General features: G+C 35.8%; 1 annotated feature.

Moving 5' to 3' along the window:
- Positions 10,514–12,423: an enhancer, noted in NCBI's record as "VISTA enhancer hs930". NCBI's record gives its function as "enhancer in: midbrain (mesencephalon)[4/5]" and the evidence as "EXISTENCE:transgenic organism evidence [ECO:0001131][PMID:17130149]".

The raw sequence follows: 12,774 nt of genomic DNA, 5'->3' as shown, positions 1-12,774 counted from the left end.
GCTAGCAGAAGGCAAGAAATAACTAAAATCAGAGAAGAACTGAAGGAAATAGAGACACAAAAAACCCTTCAAAAAATTAATGAATCCAGGAGCTGGTTTTTTGAAAGGATCAACAAAACTGATAGACCACTAGCAAGACTAACAAAGAAGAAAACAGAGAAGAATCAAATAGATGCAATAAAAAATGATAAAGGGGATATCACCACCGACCCCACAGAAATACAAACTACCATCAGAGAATACTACAAACACCTCTACACAAATAAACTAGAAAATCTAGAAGAAATGGATAAATTCCTCGACACATACACCCTCCCAAGACTAAACCAGGAAGAAGTTGAATCTCTGAATAGACCAATAACAGGCTGTGAAATTGTGGCAATAATCAATAGCTTACCAACCAAAAAGAGTCCAGGACCAGATGGATTCACAGCCGAATTCTACCAGAGGTTCAAGGAGGAATTGGTACCATTCCTTCTAAAACTATTCCAATCAATAGAAAAAGAGGGAATCCTCCCTAACTCATTTTATGAGGCCAGCACCATCCTGATACCAAAGCCGGGCAGAGACACAACCAAAAAAGAGAATTTTAGACCAATATCCTTGATGAACATTGATGCAAAAATCCTCAATAAAATACTGGCAAACTGAATCCAGCAGCACATCAAAAAGCTTCTCCACCATGATCAAGTGGGCTTCATACCTGGGAGGCAAGGATGGTTCAATATACACAAATCAATAAATGTAATCCAGAATATAAACAGAACCAAAGAAAAAAACCGCATGATTATCTCAATAGGTGCAGAAAAGGCCTTTGACAAAATTCAACAACCCTTCATGATAAAAACTCTCAATAAATTAGGTATTGATGGGACATATCTCAAAATAATAAGAGCTATGTATGACAAACCCACAGCCAATATCATACTGAATGGGCAAAAACTGGAAGCATTCCCTTTGAAAACTGGCATAAGACAGGGATGCCCTCTCTCACCACTCCTATACAACATAGTGTTGGAAGTTCTGGCCAGGGCAATCAGGCAGGAGAAGGAAATAAAGGGTATTCAATTATGAAAAGAGGAAGTCACATTGTCCCTGTTTCCAGATGACATGATTGTTTATCTAGAAAACCCCATCCTCTCAGCCCAAAATCTCCTTAAGCTGATAGGCAACTTCAACAAAATCTCAGGATACAAAATCAATGTACAAAAATCACAAGCATTCTTATACACCAATAACAGACAGAGAGCCAAATCATGAGTGAACTCCCATTCACAATTGCTTCAAAGAGAATAAAATACCTAGGAATCCAACTTACAAGGGATATGAAGGACCTCTTCAAGGAGAACTACAAACCACTGCTCAAGGAAATAAAAGAGGATACAAACAAATGGAAGAACATTCCATGCTCATGGGTAGGAAGAATCAATATCGTGGAAATGGCCATACTGCCCAAGGTAATTTATAGATTCAATGCCAACCCCATCAAGCTACCAATGACTTCCTTCACAGAATTGGAAAAAACTACTTTAAAGTTCATATGGAACCAAAAAAGACCCCGCATCGCCAAGTCAATCCTAAGCCAAAAGAACAAAGCTGGAGGCATCACGCTACCTGACTTCAAACTATACTACAAGGCTACAGTAACCAAAACAGCATGGTACTGGTACCAAAACAGAGATATAGATCAATGGAACAGAACAGAGCCCTCAGAAATAACGCCACATATCTACAACTATCTGATCTTTGACAAACCTGAGAAAAACAAGCAATGGGGAAAGGATTCCCTATTTAATAAATGGTGCTGGGAAAACTGGCTAGCCATATGTAGAAAGATGAAACTGGATCCCTTCCTTACACCTTATACAAAAATTAATTCAAGATGGATTAAAGACTTAAACGTTAGACCTAAAACCATAAAAACCCTAGAAGAAAACCTAGGCATTACCATTCAGGACATAGGCATGGGCAAGGACTTCATGTCTAAAACACCAAAAGCAATGGCAACCAAAGCCAAAATTGACAAATGGGATCTAATTAAACTAAAGAGCTTCTGCACAGCAAAAGAAACTACCATCAGAGTGAACAGGCAACCTACAAAATTGGAGAAAATTTTTGCAACCTACTCATCTGACAAAGGGCTAATATCCAGAATCTACAATGAACTCAAACAAATTTACAAGAAAAAAACAAATAGCCCCATCAAAAAGTGGGCAAAGGACATCAACAGACACTTCTCAAAAGAAGACATTTATGCAGCCAAAAAACACATGAAAAAATGCTCATCATCACTGGCCATCAGAGAAATGCAAATCAAAACCACAATGAGATACCATCTCACACCAGTTAGAATGGCAATCATTAAAAAGTCAGGAAACAACAGGTGCTGGAGAGGATGTGGAGAAATAGGAACACTTTTACACTGTTGGTGGGACTGTAAACTAGTTCAACCATTGTGGAAGTCAGTGTGGCGATTCCTCAGGGATCTAGAACTAGAAATACCATTTGACCCAGCCATCCCATTACTGGGTATATACCCAAAGGATTATAAATCATGCTGCTATAAAGACACATGCACACATATGTTTATTGTGGCACTATTCACAATAGCAAAGACTTGGAACCAACCCAAATGTCCAACAATGATAGACTGGATTAAGAAAATGTGGCACATATACACCATGGAATACTGTGCAGCCATAAAAAATGATGAGTTCATGTCCTTTGTAGGGACATGGATGAAATTGGAAATCATCATTCTCAGTAAACTATTGCAAGAACAGAAAACCAAACACCGCATATTCTCGCTCATAGGTGGGAATTGAACAATGAGAACACATGGACACAGGAAGGGGAACATCACACTCTGGGGACTGTTGTGGGGTGGGGGGAGGGGGGAGGGATAGCATTAGGAGATATACCTAATGCTAAATGACGAGTTAATGGGTGCAGCACACCAGCATGGCACATGTATACATATGTAACTAGCCTGCACATTGTGCACATGTACCCTAAAACTTAAAGTATAATAACAATAAAAGAAAATAAAAATAAAATAAAATAAACAACAGGAATTTATTTCTCTCAGTTGTAATATCTGTGAAGTCCCAGATCAAGACATCCAAAGATTCACTATCTGATAAGGTCCCAATTTTTCATAGCTGGTGCCTTCGTACTGTGTCCTCATGTGGTGGGCGGGGCCACCAAGCTCCCTTGGGCTTCTTCTCTAAGGCACTAATCACATTCATGGGGCTCTGCTCTCATGATCTAATACCTCCCCAAAGGCCCCACCTCCTAATACTATCACCTTGGGAGTTAGGACTACAACATATGAATTTTGAGGGGATACAACCATTCAGACCATAACACTGGGAAATGTAGTTTTTAATTTTCAGAAATATGTATGTTTGTAGCTTAAAAAGAAGTAGCCATAGGAAAGAGAGAGCATACACAAAGGTAAGGTTCTGGAGTTTAGGGAGAAGAAGCTGGAGAACTGGAGGTAAAAAAATAACAGATGAAATAGATTCGTAGGAAAAGGAAGACAAGCTATCTCTCATGGCTTCAGAACACAGACATTTCCTGAGTGTCTATAAGCCCTGTGCTCAATTCTGAAGACACAATGATCAAGAAAACAGTCACAGTCTGTGTTCTCATGGAGCTGGGAATACAATGAAAGAACCAGACATTGAGCAAGTAAATAGAAGAAAATAGGCAGAAATACAATCTTAGAAAAAAGTGGGAAATGCATTATCCTCTAAGATGGGAAGAAGAAAGAGGGAAGAGCAAGATGTAATGACTTTCTGAGGCAAGGGGAGGCAGCATTTAGGGAGATTATGGATTACAGCTTTTTATCATCTAAAAAAATAAAAAGTAAAAATATCTGCTAAGAATAAGAGGTACCAATTCATAATGGGTACCATAAAAAACAGGCAAATTTTAAATTACAAGTCTAAGGACAAAATATGAATGAGTACCAGCATCAAGGCACCAGTTGAGGCAAGAGATCATGAGAGTGTGGTCATAGGACCACCTGTTTCAAATCATCTAGAAGGCTTCTCAAACATGATTTCTGCATAAACTCTACCAGAGACCAACTAAATCAGAGTCCCTGGTGGTAGGCCAAGGAGCTACGTTTTTTGGTAAGTAATTCAGGAAATTCCTATGCTCACCAGAATTCAAGCAGCCCTGATGCCATTGGGCTAATCCTTACTACGTTTCAAGTTTCTGTCAAGACCCAGCATCAAATTTCATAATCTAAATTTCTTCCAAAGAATTTGCTTTTGAATGTGTTTAATTGAATCTATAGGCACAGATCTTTACGGTTACACTTTCCCTCCTTCATCTCAATACTTTTTTAAAAGATTTTTTCTATTATATGCTCTCTTCAAATTGTTGCAAGTAACAAGGAATAAGAAGGTAATTCCTTCATCTGTGGCTGTAAATGGTTTTACATGTGCAAAGCATTTTTTGGCTTTTCAAGGAGAAAATACCCATTTTAGAAGGATTCAGAAACTGTATTGCAAGAATGAAGACTAGAAAACACTACCAAATAGTGTATGTTTAAGTGTTTGCTAAATTTATAGTTTTCCAGTTCTGGTTCTTTCTACATCTACATTCTCTCAACATCCACCTTTAAGTGAAATCTAGGAAATTGAAGTTCATTAAATTTGGGCTTTACTGAAAAGCAACTGACAGTTAAGTGGGTGTGGGAAACCTCAAGTGAGGAAAAGTTGACAAGGCGTCTGTAAGTGAAATTCTTGAATTTCACAGACAGCATCAAATGCCAAACAAAATGGATAGTGTAGTGAAGATCTACAGGGAATAGTCTCCTAGAAAACTATTGTTTTCAGTGACTAATAGCCACCCTTTCTTAAAATTGGATTTGTTACAACAAAATAAATGGTCTGATAGATAAGTATAGATAAAGATACACAAGTATTTATTTCTATTGAAATGTGAATTCTAGCATATTTATAAATCTGTTCATGTTGAAAAAGAAGGTGACATAGTGAGACTTGGTCTCAAAAAAAAAAAAGAGAGAAAGAAACAGAGAGAAATGTAAACGTTTGATAAATTTAAATTAAAATGTACAGAAAAGTTGGTTCATTAAATTGTCTCCACAAAGTATTACCTTTATTCTTTATTCTTGCCCTTTAAATTTTAATGGCAATAATAATTTGTTTAGAATATACTATATATTCAAGGCATAGCATCACTATCTAATCCAGAATTTTTAAAAACAAGACCTACTATAAGAAATGTTTTTAAATTTTTCCACTAGGACATACTGCAGAAGTATTTCTATAAGTAACAATAGAGAAAACTACATTCTAATATTTAATTCGAAGCTGTATTATTCATTGTGAATAACTGGCATACGTACATTTACATGTTGTTTTATTTGTTAAGAAATATGTTTTGGGCAATAAATAGATTTGTTTAATATTCTAAAGGTATTCTGGACTCTGATCTCCCTAGCCACAATTTATGTTGGTTTTTTAAAAAATACTACTTATAGCCAATTTAAAGTTGACACACTTAAGCATCCAAAATAAAAATTTAATCCTAAAGTTTCTCAAGAGATAGACCACAACCACAAGGAATTTTTCCGCTTGAGCCAGCTCTCTATAGATCATCACTTCAAAATAAAAGAAGACATGTGTAGCAGAGTTAATCATTTTTATGTAGTCATTTCAGTAAAATAAGTGACCGTGTCATGTTTCATGAATCTCCTTGTCAATTCATTCAACAGGCACAGTCAAGCAACAGGTAAAGACCACAGTAATTGTAAAATTAGCAATAACAATTTACACTTATTTTGCCTTACTACATATCAGGCGCCTTGTCCAAATTATCCCTCTGTTCTGTACACAGCAACAGAAGTGATTCTAATACAGTCTCAGTAAGATCACGCCTCTGCTCTGCTCATACCCCTACAATAGCCTAATGCAAGCATCCTCACTGTGGCCCCCAAGGCCACGATGCGTACACACATTCTCTCCCTTGCTTCATTTCCTTTTACCCTCACTCGGGCACAGGAGCCTCCTTGCCATTCTTCCAATGTGCCCATCACAGTCTGCTTTTGGGTCTTTACAGCTGCTGTCACTTTTGTCTAGAAACATTCATACTCAGACACCTGCATGGTTGTCCCCTCACTTCCTTCAGGTCGCTATTCCTAAGTCACCTTCTCAGGAACGCCTTCCCTGTCGGCCTTATCTAACATTTCATAACTCTCCTTGAACCTTCCAACCCGCCTGCCCTGCTTTATTTTTCTTCTTAGCATTTTTTGCTAACATGCTTTATATTTTTCTTGTTTATTTTCTATCTCCCCATGTTATCCATGAGGGGAGAGATTTTTTGTCTGTTTTGTTCATTGCCATGGCCCCAGTGCTTTCAAAAGTACATGGCATACAGTAAGAGGTCAATAGATGTTTGTTGAATTAATAGAAGAAGGAATTAACTTTCATCACTTGCTTCTGAAGCACAGAGAGGACAGGCTTGTATAATCGTGGAAAAATTTAAAGTGTAGAAGCACTAAACATCAATAATAACATAGATTCAACAAAAGTCTCCTGCTTCAGCTATTACTCCTTACCACAGTGAGAACCCGGGGGGACGGGACAAGTAGTCTTTTATATGTCCCTCAGCTCCTGATCTGTATTAGGTGCTTAATAATTGTACAGTCTTTGGCCCAATCTGCTAAATTTTCTAGCTTGGTGAAAATGCTGCATTCCTGCTCTTTTTTTTTAATCCACAACATTTTGGCAAACAATCAGTCTCAAAACTTGATGTGTGTGTTCTGCTTTGAGCAAAATCTAGACTAAAATATTTCTTGACGTAAAAAAAAATGAAGTTGGAAGACACAAGAGCTGTAATCATGAGCACAAATCAAACACAAAGACCGGCCTCATTCTTGTGGCATCTAAGACATGGCTCAGAATAACAATTCTCCTCTAAAAGATTAAGACGAATGCAGAATGCTGGCTCCTGGCAACTTGTTCTTTATGAGGAGTGGAGGGGACATTTCTCAGGTCTCATTTTCTCCCATCAGACCCCTCTGCCCACAGGGTGTTCAGCTCAGCCTTTCTCCATGCCCATGCTGGCTCTGCTCACCTTCAGAACCACCTGTTTAGGCTCAGCTGTTTTCTGTGACCAGTGATTGCCACAACTAAAGAATTCCAGTCACTAGCTTGCCAATCATGATGGAAAGTTTGGGGCTATCAAGGAGTGGACTCTTAATAAGTACACATTAAATACTCTTTAAAGAGTGTCCAGGCTGGGGTGCTGCCAGTGTTGTCACCACGCTAGTTGAGCATGGCACTGTGGAAAGGTCGCAGGCTTTGGGATCAGTCAGACCTGGGTTCAAATTCCAACTCCAAGTTTTCAAAAAATAGTTCACATTTACAAAGACCATCCTACATACCAGGCACTAAGCTAAGGCCACTTTCCATATATAAATCATACAGCACTCATAATGGTATGATCTAAGTAGTATTGTTCCCATTTTTACTGATGAGGAAATTGAGGCTTATTAATGTGCCCCCAGCCACGTAGCTAATAAAAGTCAAGGGAAGGCCTTGACTTCTAGTTTTTCAAGCCTATACTCCTAACCACTATTTTATACTTTGTGAGTTTAAGAAAGGGAATTAACTTTATTAGCTCTTGTGGATTGAAATGAAAAAATATATAAGTAACCAAAAATGTAATGACTGTTCCATAAATGTGAAAAGTCTGTCTTTTAAATTTGATGACATCTGAACAACTATGATTAATAAGCCCAGGTGTGTCAGTAGATTGTTTTACATATTTAAGGAAGCACTCTTACTTTTAGAGATATATATGGAATATTTACAGATGAAATATTATGTCTGATTTGCTTAAAAATAATTCAGTAATGTGGGGAATATACGTGAAACAAGGTATCATGATAGTTATTGAGGTTAAATAATGAGCTCACGGAGAATTATAATACTATTTATTCTACTTTTCTTGTACTTGGAAATGATAAAATATGTTTTTAACATACCCCTTAAAATAACTGAAAAAAAACTGTGTGTATACATAACACAAAAAGTGTGTGTGTTCTATATAAATATACACGTATGTGTGTGCATGTGTCACTGACAGAGACTTATTTTTCTAGACAGTCTCCACAATAAATAAACCATATAAACCATTGTGCTTCCCATGAATGAAATGCATCTTTAAATATATGGCTCCCTAAATGAAAAAGTTACTGCAATATAAGACAGTGATTTTTCTACAGCCACGTTTAAAAAGTAAAACATGCCGTACCATTAGCTATGTTGAAATTGTCCTCAAAACCACAGCTGCATCTCTAGAGTGCTTCCCTGGATTTATATGGTGACTAAAATGAAGAAAATGGGTGTTTTTGCCTCACACACAAAGCATTAAAACCTAGTCAACTGCAATAAACAGAAGATTCTAATTTTTTAGCCAATAACTTGTTTTAAAGGTATAAAATACAGAGGACTTTTTCCCCAAAACATCTTTGAAAATACTGAATTGGAAAAATATCAAGAAAATACTAGGTAAATACTGCCAATAAGGGAATAAGTTTAATTCACACATTTCTTATTTTCTTATAAAAACCCAAAACACATAATATGGGTTATATATTGTGGGAATTTTTTGTCTCCCAAGAATTAAGTAATGTTAGAGACCTAGAATTTCCAGGAAGGCTCGCTTGATGAATTTGTTAGGAATGTGACCTATGTGTTCAATTCTAATATGTAAATGATAGGCATGATAAAATGTCTATTTTAAATAAAGGGAAAAAGACTGTAAAGTTATATACGGTGAAGTGGGTACCGGGTAAAAATCTAAGATCTGTCAGCCCACCAGACTTTTTATCTTTTGGGGAAATGTGTACTGGCCTTTGTCATATTCACCAGCAAGGAACATCTCTTCTGGAGGACAGTGATAGTGGTCAGGTTTTTCAATATTCTAAATTTCTCGCTTGTTTAAAAACCAACTTGTCGTTTCATCAGAAATAACCAAACCTAACAAAGGAGGAGAAAATTGAGTCATATTCAATTGAATATTCAAACCCTTTGAATATATATCTGTAGAGTTACAACCTAAACTTTAGGCCTAAAGGCAAGCACGGAAATGTCTACTCTGTTCCCTTTAATATTTTTGGTGAGTCACAGTCAGAGTACAATTTCCATCCACTTCAGCCAACTCCCTCTAACAGAGACAAAATATATTCTTAACAATAAGTTTAGATTTTTAAAAATTATTATCAAATTACAAGTAAAATTAATAATGTATAGAAAAAAATAGTTTTGAGTGGCTGTATTACTTACTGTTTCCTCTCCCACCATTAACCAAATCAGAAAAAGAAACCATAGTACAGCAGAAAGAGTACTAAACTTTCAAGTAGAAACTCCAATTTTCAGTCCCAGCATTGTCTCATACCTGTGAAAGTCCTTTAATCACTCTGAACCTCAGTTTTCTCATCTACAAAATAGTAATAATGATACCTACTTCAGAGCTGAGAATATTAAGATTAAATCAGACATCCATTTAAAGACCTAAATGAAATAAAACAACATCTATAATTATGTTTCATTTACAAATACATAATTTTAATGGAAAACACTATTAAAGTGTAAGCTAAAGACACAAATAGAGGTTAGAGCATGTTCTATTTAGCACTGGGATCACTCGCTATCCCTAATGGGGGCATAGAGGAAATGTTCTGTGGGAAAGATGATCTTCCAGATGACCTTTATCACATGCATTAAAGGTTACTTCACTGGTTTGGGCAAAAATAGTTTTAATATTTGTACCACTTAGTCCTACAGACTTGCCTCTTTTCATTTCTACCAAATCAAGCTATTTTCCTTTGGGAGCATTCACACGCTGATTATCTTTTCTTTGCTCAATAAACCAAACAGCAGCTAAACCTTCATGCTTTAAAAGTCATACAGATTCACTTTTAAAAATTAAATTTGAAGAATGTTTATTTTCTAACACTGGTTTTAATTTTAGTAATAATTTTCTTCAAGTCAAAATTAAAATCAGGTCTACGTTTTCTTCCCCATCACATTCTTTCCTGTTGTGACGAATTTAGTCTCAGGAAAAAAATAATAATTGGGATTAGAAAGGAAAAAGAAATGAAGAAAAAAAATAATGTAAGAGTAAAATACAGAAAGAATTACAATGATAACTTGGAGAAATATGATTACTATAAACAAGTAAAAGTGATTTTTAACATGACTAATCTTGATGATTATGCAAAAATCTTGTGTTAGGTTCAATCTGTCCGTTTAATTAGTTTAATACAAAACCTAATAAAAGTAAAATATAAATATTTTGCACAAAAATTCCCCTATAGATGAGAAATTTGGAACTTGCTAGTATCTTGATGACTTTATTTTTTAATTTCTACAACATAGCTAGTATTTCACTAGGTCAGTTTCTATTAAAACACAACTTAATAAGCACAGGCATAAAAAAAGATGAATTTGCACACAGATGCTTTATATGTGCAATGACACATCTCCATAATGTATTTCAATCACTTTTCTGTCTGCCTATTTGGATGACAGAACAAGAAAATGAATCTTGATCACCTAGATGAAAATTGAAGCATAGCATATTATTGATATCTTCATTAAATACAACCCCTCCCCCCAAAACACGATGCTTTCAGAAATGTGTTTGGCAAACTTGATATTGTTCTTGTAGATCACGATGCTTCAGAAGCATGACTTCTCTGAGGAAACACTAGATCTTGTAACAGAAATATCTTTAAATCTTTTAGATAGCCAGTCCACAGGGAAAGGTTTAAGAAAGGATCAAAGCTTGTTCTTTCAGCTTGAATTATTCCATTACAGCTGAATGTGACATAATTACAAAAGATGTTGGATGTGGAATCTCATCAGGATTATCTGACACTCATCTTTGTTGAAAAAGTCTCCCCAGCTGTTGCTCTGATCGCCCAAATGTGACAGGAGTACAGAGTACAAAAGTACTTGTAAGTGACCACTGCTTGGGGCGAGCTTAGCTTCCTTAGGCCATTTTGTGACTTTCCACAAATATCAATAGTATGGAAAAACAGAAAGCATTGTTCCAAATATAGTTCCATTTTCGTCTGTAAAGCAGCTTAAAAAACAGAAAAAAGAAGCACCAGCTACGGCTTATCTTTTGGAACATTTGTGTTTAATTCAGCCAAACTCATTTAGCTATAAACATTTCAATCAGAAACGATCATTTGCACTCCTATGCGAGTCTGCGTATGTTCTTATTTGCTTTTACAATCTCATCTTAATTTAGCACTCCCCTATTTTGATGCCTGTTAATAGCTTTACTGGTAGAAATTCTTGTTATTGGGAATGACTCAGAAGGAGCGTTTACGGCCCTGAAAATGAAATAAGATGAATAAATATTTAATTTCCTACTATGTTTAACAAGTTCTGGCCATCAGTAAATCACATTTAAAATTGTAAAAGGTGTGTTTTTTGCAAGCATTTGCCAAAGTTTCTTTTTTAAATATCACTATGGAAGTTGAATTGTAAAATATAACATCAAACATAAAATGTTGAATAATTACTCATTCCAAAGGATTTGGGAGAAGCAAAAAAAAAAAAAAATACTTTTCTTTGCTTCCTTGTCATGGATTACATTTTCTTCATACATTATTAATGAAGTTAAACTACTAGTAACATGCCAAATGTGCTGCATAGGAGATTTGTGCCTAATCCAGCACAAAACAGGCCCAGTCACATAATGATAGAAAAAAGAACAAATGTCAACAGTTTCACACTGGGACTAGATTAAGCAGACCGTACTTACTGATTTCTTACACAGGGATTATCTCACTTTTAGTGCTATGAGAAGGAAGGCCACACTTCTCTTATATTAACACAGAATTGCACCTGAGGAAAAAAAAATGAAGAAAAAAGGCTTCATCCCCACTCCCACTCAGTCTCACGGCCATGGAAACTTGATTTATTAAATACCACAGACTTAAGCCATTGTTTGGATAATGGACTACATAAAGATGTCTAATAGTGATATACAAGTATTAATACCTTAGAGATCAAATATAATATTGCTTCTCATTGAACTCTGATTAGATTGTGCTTAAAATAACTGGTGTTTACTGTTTACCCTTCTACTTGCTAGGTTCAGAAAGCTCCATGGCTTAGGTCATGGCTGGATTCCTTACAGGCAATATTAATGTTGAAAGAGTTTAAGGATTTTTTTCCCCTTTAATCTCTGGAGGCTAAAGTTTGCAGCCCTTACGTAAGCAAACTCCCATTGACTTCAGTGAGAATTTAGTAGTTGCATAAATATCACAGGAGCTGGCTCCCATTCCTCATTATTAGTCTTGCTCAAAGGATATGTGTTCATTGAAAGCGTAGTTTTAAGAACTTTGGTTATCCATGTTGACTGAGTTGCATCTATTATCCATGTCTAGATTCTATACTATTACATCAAGCCATGTAAAAAATAAATTTATTTACTCCTTTGTTTACACTTCAGAATGCAGACATTTCTGTATCCTCAAAAACTACAGTGACTGACATCCAGCCCAAAGAGTGACTTCATTATATCAATGAGGACAAAATCTTCCAATGCTTCTGTATTAAATAATCTCCTGAATGTATCTTTTTTTAAAACTTGATTCTTAGAAAAATATTTCAAGGAACTTTAACTAAAATAAATTTTTATCTTATGAGGTACTCCCATTTGGCTCATGAAGTATTTGCTAATTTACTTTACCTCTTACTCCAACTACTT

This window comes from Homo sapiens, chromosome 4 (genome assembly GCF_000001405.40).
Source record: "Homo sapiens chromosome 4, GRCh38.p14 Primary Assembly".
In the NCBI taxonomy this organism is placed as follows: Eukaryota; Metazoa; Chordata; class Mammalia; order Primates; family Hominidae; genus Homo; species Homo sapiens.
This window is presented reverse-complemented; position numbering and strand designations above follow the sequence as displayed.